Below are 13127 nucleotides of genomic sequence, written 5' to 3'. Positions count from 1 at the left end.
TATATCAGCCATCATGCAAGTTAAATAAAAACAACATTTTTTAGTCTTTTTTTTTTTACCAGTATACCTAGTGTCTATCTATAATAGCAATGAACAATTGAGATGTTTCATTTGTTGAATAAATGAACCATAAGAAAATAAGTAACAAGTCATTCAATTATGTCCTGTGAAGAAGTTTTGATGCTCTTCCTGCCTATCACTCCCTCTCAAGTCTCTACTTAAGATGGAGAGGGTAGATCCTTTTGTAGTTCATAAGCGTGATGCTTGGGTGTTCACATGTGCATGTGTGAGATGTGCCTTCCTCAAACCTTGTTACAATGTGGGCACATTACCCGTCCAACATGGAAAAAAAGACAGCGAGGGTCCTTGGATACCCAACATCAGCCAGGACCCAAGTCCAAAAGGAAGCTCATATTATTAGACCATTTTTCCTTGTTCATTAAAAAGAATCGGTAACTATACAATAATTTGTTTCCTTTATAGATACTCTAATTAAAAAGAGACATATTAAAATATGGAAAATTCTGCTTGTTTCATCCTACTTGGCTTTAGAATGCCAATTATCCCTACCTTCAATTTAATCCATTTCCAAATATACAGCTTCTTAGAAATGTAGGGAAGCTGTTCTCTGCCTGCAAACATGAGATTGTCAACCTTCTATTGTTTATTATTGTACAATTGCAACATCACTTCTGAAGAAAGGACTTTCAGGACTGATAAATTTGGTCATGTCAGCATTTTGCTTCCTTATGCATTTTCTTATTTCATACCAAGCTTGGTTTATGGGAAGTTTGGGTTAACAGAGCTCTTAAGGGTAATTAGTGTCCAATAAGTGTCCCCTTAGGCCAAGGTTTCATGTCTGTGTGAGTTTTTCTGTGCTTGTTCTGTGGGAGTTTCCATAGCCTACCAGTGTCACCAAGAAGCTTCATCCAGACACAAAAGGAAGGTTACAACACTGCTTTTTGGGTGAAAAGGTCATGACATTGTCCTTTCCATAATCAGCCCTACTTGAAATGACTAACCCGGAGTGAAAGCCTCTCTACTAACATGCATTCATACCTGATTTATTTCTCCCAATTTTGCATTACAAAAATTTTCAAAAATACAGAAAAGGTAAAATAAAAGAATAACATAATAAACATTTTTATATTCACTACTTAGTTTCAACAACTGTTGACATTTTGCTGAGCCATTTGAAAGTGAGTTGCACTTTATCTAATATTTCTGCATGGGTCTCCTGAGAATAAACACATTCCAATACAAGCAAGGTAACATTATGACAGAGGATTTATCCATTTCATTTAGGTTGTTGAAGTTATTGGAATAAAGCAGCTCATAATATTTCCTATGATCCTTTTAAAGTCTATAGGATCTGTAGTGATGCTCCTCTTTTACTCCTAATGTGGTAATTTGTGTCTTCTTTCTTTTTTTCTGCATAAGTCTAGTGAGAGTTTTATCAATTTTATTCATTTAAAAAAAAACAGCTGCAGGATTCATTCATGTTACTATTATTACCATTATTATTATTATCATCATCATTATCATTATATTTTAGTTTTTATTTCATTTATTTTTACTTTTATGTTTATTGTGTCTTCTTTCTATTGGGGGTTTAATTTTCTTTTGCTTGTATTTTCTATATCTTAAAATGAAAATTTAGATTCTTTAAATCTGTATCCCACACATTTTGATATGTTGTTTTAATTTTTAATTAATTCAAACAATGAACTTTCATACTTCAAATAATGTGAATATCATGAATAAACTTGCATTAAATAAGCAATTATTTTTGTGAAATTCCAGTAAATCTCTAATAGCCTTTTTGAGATATAACTAACACACCATGAAATTCACCTTTTTAAAGTGTATGAGTCAGTGATTTTGAGTATATTCACAAAGTTGTACAATTACCAACATTATCTAATTTTATAACATTTTCATTACCCCAAAAAGAAACACCACACCTATTGGTAGCCACTTCCCATTGCCCCCTCCTCCACAATCCCTTGTCAAGCATAAATCTGATTTCTATCTCTATAGATTTACCTATTTTGGACACTTAATATAAATTGAATCATGTGATATGTGGTCTTTTGTGACTGGCTCTTTTCACTTAGCATCATGTTTTCAAGATTCACTGATGCTCAACATGAATCAGTACTTCATTTCTTTTTATTGCTAAATAATATTTCAGTTAATAAATATACCACATTTTATTTATCCATTTATCAGTTGATGGATATTTGGGCTGTTTCCACTTATTTGCTATTATGAATAATGCTACTATGAACATTAATGTGTGAATTTTTGTGTGGACACATGTTTTTAGTATTCTTGGAGGAGAATTGCTGAATTATATGGTAACTCTATGTTTAACTTTTGGAAGAACTCCCAAACTGTTTTCCAAATTGACTGCACTCTTTTACTCCCATTAGCAATGAATGAGAGTTCCAATTTCACCATATCCTTGACAACATTTATTATTGTCTGCCTTTTCTTTTTGAGCTATTCTAGTGGGTGTAAAGTGATGTCTTGTGGTTTCCATTTCCTGAAAGACTAATGATGTTGAACATCTTTCATGTGCTTATTGATCATTAGTATTTCTTTTTTGTAGTAATGTCTGTTCAAATTATTTGTCTGCTTTTAATTGGGTTGTCTTTTTATTGCTGAGTTGCAAGTGGTATCATTTATACATTCTGGATACAAGTCCCTTATCAGATATGTGATTTTTAAATATGTTGTCCCATTTAGTTTTGGTGAAGTTCAATTCACGGATTTTGTTTTGTTTTGTTTTGTTTTGTTTTTCCCTTGTGTTTTTGGTGTTGTATCTTAAAAAGCTATTGCCTAACTCAAAATCACAAATATTTACTCTTATGTTTTCTTCTAAAAGTTTTATAGTTTTAATTTTTACATCTAGGTCTTGGGTATATTTTCAGAGATTTTTTTATTATTATACTTTAAGTTTTAGGGTACATGTGCACAACGTGCAGGTTTATTACATATGTATACATGTGCCATGTTGGTGTGCTGCACCCATTAACTCATCATTTAGCATTAGGTATATCTCCTAATGCTATCCCTCCCCCCTCCCCCCACCCCACAACAGTCCCAGGTGTAGACTGGATTAAGAAAATGTGGCACATATACACCACGGAATACTATGCAGCCATAAAAAATGATGAGTTCATGTCCTTTGTAGGGACATGGATGAAGCTGGAAACCATCATTCTCAGCAAACTATCACAAGGACAAAAAACCAAACACTGCATGTTCTCACTCATAGGTGGGAATTGAACAATGAGATGGTTTTGATGTGTGGAGTGAAGAAGGGGTACTCCACCATTCTTTTGAACATAGACATCCAGTTGTTCTAGCACCATTTGTTGAAGTCATGAATCATTTTTGTCAAGAAAAAGAATTTCCAATATGTAAATGAGTGACTTCCAGATTTTATAAAATCATAGGACATTACCTCTAGAATTCTGCTTATAGGTAACTTATTCCAAATATCCTTAAACAGGTCAATTAATTTACCCAAAATTATCCCTGCATCAAGTCTGTTCCCAGCTCATGTACCCAGGATCTGTGCCAGCCTGGAAACCATGTGGCTCGTCTTCTACTGTGTTGGTGGTCAGAATCTACTTCTCCTTTTTTTCCCCACACACTTGTATTTTCACTCAAGACTAAGATTCTCAAAAATCTAGTGAGTATGGTGAGTTGTGGTGTGGAAGGTTTGGGGAGAGAATTGCTGGTGACACATTTCATTTAAGAAAATAAAGCTTTGTGGAGGAAGATGCAGGAAGGAGGAGCCCTGGAGTTGATATAAGAAGGAATTGCAATTTTTAAAAAATCTTTCTTTAGTATAGAGTCCCAGAAAATCAGTGACATGATGAGAGGTCCACTCATTTACAGTGAAGCCACCATGGATAAAGGTCTTCTAGACCTTGGATTTGAGATGTGGGTATTCCATCCAGCACTGAGATTGTTTAGTGCAGCAGATTTTTCACTGGCTCACTCCGCTGCCATTCCCACTTCCTTCTACTGAACCTTCTAGTATAACAGATGCCAGGAGACTAAAAACCGTACTTAGCAGAGAAGATTTTGCATGTGGCTTAGATTCTGCCAAGCAGATGTCCACATGAGACCAGGAGGGTGTGAACAATGGGAGCCAGTGGCCATGGTTCGTGACAGAAACGTTCATTCTCCCGTTGCAGGTCTGGCAGTTTCTGAAGTCTGATTCCTAGAAACTTAGGTACTGAGCAGTAGGCAGCAGCAACAGAAACAGTTCCATAGGTGGTTGGGCATTTCCTTTGATTGCTGTATTTTTGATTATGTGATAATTAAACCTTATGCCCTGGGCCTCACTGAGATTCTGTAAGGTTCATCATTCCATCTGATACATCACTTTCTTTTCAGATCAAATAGAGTGCATTCTACTTTCTTCCACTATGAGCCTTGACCAATATAACCAGTAATCTAATCAACTATGAAAGGGCAATTAACACATTTTTCTCTAGGCTTTTGTCAAGTCTAGATAAATGTTTCTTTTGTGAAGAATGAATCTAAAAGAAAAAGATCAATACAGTCCTGATTTGAACAAAAGATTCAAAAAGTTGAAAGAATCAGTATCCCTGAAGACTCAGAGAAGCACAGAGACTTTTCAAAATGATTTATAGAAAAGCCAGAAATAAATTATTTTGGAAACAATTTTCCATTCTCAATAGAATAAAAGAAGGCAATGCCTCCATGCAATAAGATCAGTGAATCAAGCTGTGATCAAACAGAAGCAGTTATGAGATTCAAAAACATAAAGATGAGCCAAGACTATAAGGGGATAAAAAGGTTCTGTAATTTTATGCTTTAACATAAACTTTGCAAGGTCATGGCACCCAGATATTTGGTCAAACACTAGACTGGATGTTGCTGTGAAGACAGTTTTTGGGTGAGATTAACATTGAAATCAGGGGACGTTAAGTAAAGCAGTTTATCTTCTATAATGTGGGTGGGCATCCTCTTATCAGTTGAAGGCCTTAAGAGAAAAAGATGGAAGTTCCCCACCCAAGGAAGAAGGAATTCTACCTGCCATCTGCTTTTGAACCAGAGCTGCAACATTAATTCTTCCTGGGTCTCCAGCCTGCTGGCCTACTATGCGGATTTTAGACTTGCCAGGTTCCAAGGTAACATGAGCCAATTTCTTTAAATAAGTCTCTCTCTCTCTCTTTTTTTTCTCTCTCTCTTTTTCTCTCTCTCTCTCTCTCTCTCCTCAACATCCACACCCACACATCCTATTGGCTCTGTTTTTCTAGAGAACCATCACTAAGAAAAACAGCATATAGTTTAGTCTTATATTTTTGTACAGTCTGATCATTTATACCTTTTAGTTTAAATGTTTACTCCATCTACATTTATGTAATGAATTATATCATTAGGTTCATGTCTATCAAGTTCTTACTTGCTTTCTATTTGTCTCTGTCTATTATTCTGCTTTCTCCAATCTGCTCTTAAGGAAAATAATTGAATTTTTCATCTCAGACATTTTGATTTTTAGTTCTATAATTATTTCTTTATGTATATATATTTATTTTCTCCTGCCAGGATTCCCAGTTGACCCTCACCATGACCCCGTGTTCCTTTATATCTTTGCATATACTCTTCATAGGTGCTGTGCACTCCTTCTCTCATAACTCCAAACTTTTGGTCTCTTTAGAAGTGGTTGCTAATGACTGCTTTTCTTTTTTTGAGTCCCATTTTTCTATTTCTTCACATGTCTACCAATATTTTATTTTACTATGGGCTTTGTAAATGTTTTGTTTTAGAGACTTGGTCAGAGTGTTGAGTTCTGCCTTAGAGGGTGGTGAAGTTGGCTGCCTGTCTGTGGGGGACTGCAGTTGATATCTCCTCTCAATTCCCTCTGTCCTCCATCTGCTGCCTCCTTCTAGGACCCTTGACATTTTCCACATGCATGCGCAGTTTATGCGTGTGTAGTCAGCCAGGAACTGGGGCAAAGTCTGCACACAGATTTGGGGGATCCCCCCTCCTTGACATCCTCCTTTTTGGCATTCCTACCCACCTCACACCCCAGAAGTTTTTCCAGTTATGAACTCCATACTCTGACTTCTCAAACAAGGAAGACTGCATATTTCTGCAGGAGCTCAGCCACTTCATCTTGTGCAGACAGGGCTGTGTTCTCAGGTGAAACACCCTGCAAAATCCATTTACATACAGTGCAGTTTTCTTTGTTGAAGGCTGACTCTATTCCACATTCAGCCTGCATTTCTTCCTTCTTCAGTGCCTTCAAATAATGTTTTAAACTTGGCTATAGTTTACAATTGTCACCTGTGAGAGGATTAGTACGATACAAGCTTCTTAGTCATTTCCAGAAGTAGAATGCTGCAGGTTTTAATTACATCCAGCTTGAACTGTTGCTTAAAATTAGCCCTGGGTTCCCACATTTGAATGTAATACATATCATAATGCAGCTTCCAGCATCTGTGGTTAGGGTGGAGTGCCTATGATTCTCAGGAATTCTAAAAGCTCATTTCATTCCTATGCCCTTCACTGTGAAACGGGAGGGAAAAAATGATTTATTGCCGGACCCTATGTGTGTACTATCACCCTTTCCCATCAACTTTTTTTTTTTGAAGGAAGAATAAAAAGCTTGACTGTGTTTTGTCTTTTAGTGATTGTGGGACTTTTCAGCCGCATTCACAAACCATAAAGGAACATGAGGCAAACTACTGTGTTCAACCTGACCATAGAGAACATAATATAGTGGTTAGGAGAGTGAGCTCTGAAGCTGGATGCCTGAATTTCCATGCTGTTTCCACCTCTACCTTGTCAATTGGAAGAGTTATTTAATTCTCCTGGGCCCATTTCCTCATCTGTAAAATTATTTCACTCAACAATCTGGACATCATGACAATACCTATTTCTGTAGGTTTTTGGGTGGATTACATGAGTTAGAGCAATGTCTAGTGCATATGAAGCACTCAGTAAATATTAGTTGCTGCTGTTTTCATTATCATTGTTATCACTGTCACCAAATGCTACCTAACTGAAACAATGTGGATTCCCTCTTCTGCAAGTCCCAGGTTACTTCATTCTGAATTGTGGAGGCTAGTGTCCACTGTTGAGGTCTCCTCACTCTTTTCTCTGTCCAGAAGAGAAACACATGGACCCCTCTGATATTGTACATAGTGGATAGAATAAAACCCAGGAATCAGACAGGCCAGCATTCGAATACTGTTTTGAATGCTTACCAACTATGTGAAAAATGGCCTTGCTTCTCCTGAAGCTTGTTTCCTTATCTGTGAAATGAGTAGTAAGTACATCTACTTGGGGTTTGGGGGAATATTAAATAAAATGAAATATGTTGGGTCCTGGATAAACTGATGTGTTTAGTCAAGGGAGTATAATTCTGGCATGACCCAGGGTTAGAGACATTGCCCCTGGGCTGGATGGCAGGCCATCACTCATTACTTAAGCTCAGGGGGACTCTTCCTTGAAGCATGCCCCTTGAAAGCCTCTAAAATTGGCAGGATCCCAGTTTTGGCTAATTAGGACTAAAAGCTCCATTAGCCATACTCCCTGCTTCCTAAGGACATTGGCAAATAGCCTCAAGACATGTAGTTTTAACCCTTCCTCTCTTCGTCCTGCAAGGGCAGTCCCAGTCAGTCCTGCCAGGGCTGATTGTTTATTTCGTGCAAGCTCTCTTGTACCCCTCGATTTAGGCCGTCATCTGGCCCTGCTACCTGCTACTCTCCTCTTGGTATCTACTCCCCATCCCTACTTGCCATAGTTTAGTCCAGGCCCAAACCATCATCCCCTTGGACTATTGCAGTAGCCTCATCAGGTGACCCTCTTAATTTCTGACCTTCTGTTACACTGCCTCCAGGGTAGCCTTCCAAAAGCTCTACAGTATAATCGTGATAGCTCCTATTATTCAAAGACAATACTCCATTTCTATCATTGGGTTTATAAATGAAGCTATCAATCTGAGAGAGAAACTTGAGTCTATCAGGGACTCTTTTTTTCTGTCAGTTCAAAATCTGAGCTTCCTGCTATGTCCCTCAGTGCCCTTTATGACTCAGTCTCTGCTGATACTGCAGCTTGGTTTCTTGCCACTCCCTGCATGGGATTCTAGGTTTTTCTCATATTAAGCGAGATGGGGGCTCTGGATTCACCCAAGTATTTTCTGCCTCTGAGCCTTCCCTTGTCAGCTTCCCTGTACCTAGATTGTCCTTGCTTCTTGCCTTCAGCCACAGAACACTTAGACACCTAGCTGTTTCAGTTCAGGGCCTCTTGCTTTCAGAAGCCTTTCCTGAGGCCTCACAGACCTAAGTGTCCCTCCAGTGTTCACGCACAGACACCAGGACCCTTCCATGCAGGTCCTCATCAGAGTCCACTTTGGTTGTCCCTTGAAGTGTATAACTCTCTTATCTGACAGCACACTTCCTGTGTGTCACTGTTCCTTGTAACCTTAGACTTAGTGCACCACTGTTGATGAGTGAGATTATTTTTGTGTCTGTGTGGGTAGGTGTGTGACCCTCAGTCTGGGCATTTGCTGGTGGAATGTAGACATATTCAGGCATGTCTGAAGAACCACTGGGATGGCCCCAAGACAATGGCAGGAGAGATCAAAGAGTCTCTCAGGAGAAAGCGCAAACTGTGGGAGAGGCTCCAGCTGTGAGAGTCTTGTTTTATGCTCATTTGTTGAACTGATGGTCTTCTTTCCAAAAAACGTAGATAAGAGCCTGGTGCAGAGGGTGGGGGTGGTAGTAGAGATTGTGGGGAACTGTACTGAAAGGAAAGATGGAGGATGGGAAGTGCTATGTGGTTCTCGGGATTTCCCATGACCTCTCAGGGTGAGGTTTTCCCACTGGGACAAGCTGCTGCTGCTACATCACATAAATGCCCATACCCTCACTTCCCTCATCCTGCCACGTAAGCCTCACAACCTCTTGAAGCCGCATTTTCTTCACTTGGAGTAACCAGCTATGGAGCCTGGAATATAGCTCCCACCAAACAGTGTTCTTCTTCTTCTTTCTTCTTCTTCCTTCTTCTTTCTTCTTCTTCTTCCTTCTTCTTTCTTCTTCTTTCTTCTTCTTCCTTCCTCTTCTTCCTTCTTCTTCCTCCTCCACCCCCTCCTCCTCCCCCTCCTCCCCCTCCTCCTCCCCCTCCTCCTCCTCCACCGCCACTGCCACCGCCTCCTCCTCCTCCTCGTCCTCCTTCTTCTTCTCTTCCCTCCTCCTCCTCCTTCTTCTTCCTCTTCTTCCTCCTCTTCCTCCTCTTCTTCTTCTTCCTCTTCCTGTCTCACTTTGAAGAACCAGAAGCATCTTCACTCCCATGGTGAGATTCATTGCGTAACATGCAACAGTGAAAGCAGGTGGCTACTGTATATGTGCACATATACCTGGCCACTTGGTGTAGCTGCGGAGAAAGGAGCTCCAAGACCCCTCCAAGTAAAGATCCTTTGCAGGCATCTGCAGCAGCAAGAGCAGGGTCTATTCCCTCCTCTCCCAGCAGGCTGTTGCTGTGATGAAGTGTCCTTTTATCCAGGTCAGGGCAAAATCCAATCCCCACTGATTTCTTTGTGACAGGTTTGTGGGGAAGGCAGTGGCTGCTGCTTCTGCTATCAGAGGACACAACACTCCATCTCTATCATTTGGAATTATACATGGAGCTATCAATCTGTGAGTGAACACCTGGCAAATCTCTCAGCAGTTACACACTCAGTAAGTGCTGAGAATAAGAAATGGTGTGATGGAAATGACACAAATGGTATTCCATTTCCCTTAGCTTCTCTTGTCTTTGTACTGGCCAATTAAAAGACAATTTCTGGCTGAAAGCACAAATCTTGTATCACTTTGTAAGTTTTAATCTATTTTGCAGGAAATCTTCATTAAAGTACCTCAGTAATTTCATTATAAGAAATGAAAAAAAATTAAACTATGCTGTACGGGAAAAAATAACCCTCTATACCCATCAGGCAATGAAAAGAAAGTCATTACTCACGTTTTCATTTTCTGGTGGCATTTTACCTTATTGTTTTATTCTTGTTTGCGGTTAGAAAAACTGTTCTTAATAAAAACTTAAGGTGGCTTCTTTATCTATTCAGAAGTATAAGGATGTATTGAAAACAAGTATAATTTTCTAGTGGTTTTCTTATGGTTTATTTGATTCAGCCATCAAACAAGCAGAGGGATTATAATTTTTAGTTAAGGGCTCACACATTCCTTGTATTAAAGTTTAACTTTGGTCACATTAACTTAATAATTATAAGTACAGTTAAGTATTTCCTTGATTGCTTATTAATTACATCACAAATGGCCAGGCATAGTGGCTCATGCCTGTAATTTCAGCATTTTGGGAGGCTGAGGCAGGAGAACCACTTGAGGCCAAGAGTTCAAGTTTCATATATCTCAAATGGTTATTTTTATAAAAGGAAATATAACACTATTTGAACAAATTCATATCCGTAAGTTATAAATTCTAATTGAACTCAGAAGTTTGTGTCCGATGATATCATTTGGGGGAAGTAACAAAAATATTAATATGTAATATTTAATGAGTATATAGTTCTGCACAGTGCAATATACTCTGCATTTATTTCTTTGTTTTCCATTTATTCCTTATAACAATCCTAATGGATGGTACTGCATGTACCATTATTACAGATAAGATAAGCGAGGCCTAAAGAGTTTAAGAAACTTACCAAAATTCACAGATTACAAAATAGAAAATTGAAGTATATTGAGTGCCTATGTAATGTGTTAGTCATTGTGTTGGACATTTAAACTTCTTCCTGCCTCCCTTCATCCCTCTTTTTCACACTCCTTTGTCCTTCCCTCCCTTTCTCCCTCCCACCAAACCCCTCTTCTTCCTTTTATTCCTTTCTTCCTTCCTTCTTTCCTTCATACAAATATTGATCAAGTGACTACTATGTGTCAGGCATGTTTTCAGGCACTGGATGCTAGAATAATGAACATGTCAAACAAGGTCCTGTTCTCACAGCATTTGTTCTCTTACAGAGGGAGTAAGATATATATTTAATGAAATGAATATGATCAAAGCAGACATAAACAAGTGCTATGAATCAAGAGATATAACAGTCATTAGATGGCTATGTTAGCTAATTAGTCAGGGTTACCCTTTCTACAACAGTGAGCGACATTCAAAGGACAAGAAGACATCAGTGTGGATGGTCAGGAGAAAAAGGATTTCAGGCAGGTGGAGCCATATTTAACCGTCTTAGTAACTTGGTGAGATAGGAATTATTCTTCCTGTTGTAAAAATAAATGAACATCCAAATATGTTAAAATATCCAAAGTTACAATGATGAAGTAAGTATGCTGTAGTGTGGGTGTCAGTCACAGGCATGTCAAATTCTAAAGTGATATGTTTGCCATAATACAAAATCTACTGCCCAATTAGTTGATAAGAGTATCACACACAAACATAATAAAACCTATTTAAAACAAACTGTTAGGGTCATTTTGCTTATACATTTCTTCTCTATGTGTTCTACTCAGATCCTCCCAAACTTCAGAAGTGTCAAAAAATACTAAATGCAGATTATTAAATCTTGGCCTTAATTAGGTTCCATTGCAAATTTTTTAAATAAAAAGATTGTTTTAGTATTAAAAACATGCACGCACACACACACAGGTATACACATACATACCCCCTATATGTATGAGGTGTGCATAGAAAAGGGAGAGGCACAGGGATATGTTTATGATCATGGTTGTGTGTGCATACATGAGTGTGTGTTTATTTGTAACTATAGCAGTTACCAATTTATTTGCAGATGCTCAGGTATGTGATACCATTATTTGTAAATTAAAAAAAATCCTTGCACAAAATTATATCCAAATGCTTGACTGGCCTCTAAAATCTGCCTCTTAGAGAAAATATCATGTATAGATAAAACTAAAAATGTCAGTATGGCTAGAGCTATTAATACAAGATAATAAGATGTGTAAAGGAACAGCACATTATTAACAAAATAATTTATTTATAAATATCTAGTTTTTCTTTGTAAGTAATAGGCCTTTTACATTAGAAGCAAAAAATAGTGTCATGCTAAATCACTTGCTTAAATATTATTTGTTTCCTGAGAGGAAAATGCTCAAATCATTAGTAAGAGAAGGAGTTCACTTTTCTTTGAGTAAAACAAAGCAAAAGCCCTTTTGTAAGCTCTTCAGACGTTCAGGAAAGTATGGGAGGCTGGTCTTAAAGCATAGGACATAAAATTAGGCAATCTCTGGCTTGCCATTCTAGCATAAATCATCACAAAAGTATTGACAAACATAATGTATGATGCACCATTTATTTTTGTTACATTTGTGAATTTTTCCATTAGAGGATACTGGCTGCCTGCACCAATCAGGCATTTTACATGGAACTCTGCCTATTGTTCTGTTTTGTCTGGCAAAATCTTTCCCATAGTTTTATTTTTCTTTCAGCTTATGCTAAAAATCTGTAAGAAGGGACAAAAGCCAAGATGTGCTTGTTATCCCTTGTGAAGAATTTTTTTAATACTAAAACAATCTTTTTATTTAAAAAATTCACAATGGAACCTAATTAAGGTCAAGATTTAATAATCTGCATTTAGTATTTTTTGACACTTCTGAAGTTTGGGAGGATCTGAGTAGAACACATAGAGAAGAAATGTATAAGCAAAACGATCCTAACAGTTTGTTTTAAATAGGTTTTATTATTATTCCAGTATGGTGAGGCCAACAAATCAGACGATGACTGTTACTGACAAGATAGTTTGTTATTCACAGTTCCCAAGAGGAGGGGCTACAAATGGAAGGACCAAAGTTTATAAGGAAGCAGAGTGGGGAAATGGGGAAAGCAGAGGCAGACATCTTTATTGTGGTTTTCATGGGAAGGAACAGGTGAGGCAGGGTAAACAGACTAGGTAGGTGTATGATCTGCTAGATTAAGTAATTTTGATAGGCTCCAGGGTATAGGGGCTGTCTCTAGCTGTCTGGTACCTGGTCCTGAGATGATCAGAGCAGAGGAACATTACCTCCTGGAGTGTAAGAGCCAGAGAGAGAAGGTGGTTCAAAGTAAGGCCTCTGGATTGGTTAGTTTTCATATGAAAAGCATGCTCCAGG

The 13127-nt window shown here is 38.1% G+C and overlaps 1 non-coding gene across 1 annotated transcript; it reads left to right on the top strand.

The window, feature by feature from the left end:
- The first annotated feature begins 236 nt into the window (after positions 1 to 236).
- LOC124905070 (small nucleolar RNA U13) lies at positions 237 to 342 on the top strand. The gene has a single exon (XR_007067949.1). It is a non-coding gene; the product is annotated as a small nucleolar RNA U13 (small nucleolar RNA).
- Positions 343 to 13127: the final 12785 nt, after the last annotated feature.

Source organism: Homo sapiens, chromosome 21, assembly GCF_000001405.40.
Source record: "Homo sapiens chromosome 21, GRCh38.p14 Primary Assembly".
NCBI classification, from domain to species: domain Eukaryota; kingdom Metazoa; phylum Chordata; class Mammalia; order Primates; family Hominidae; genus Homo; species Homo sapiens.
Note: the sequence above shows the minus strand (reverse complement) of the source record. Positions and strands in the feature narration are given on the sequence as shown.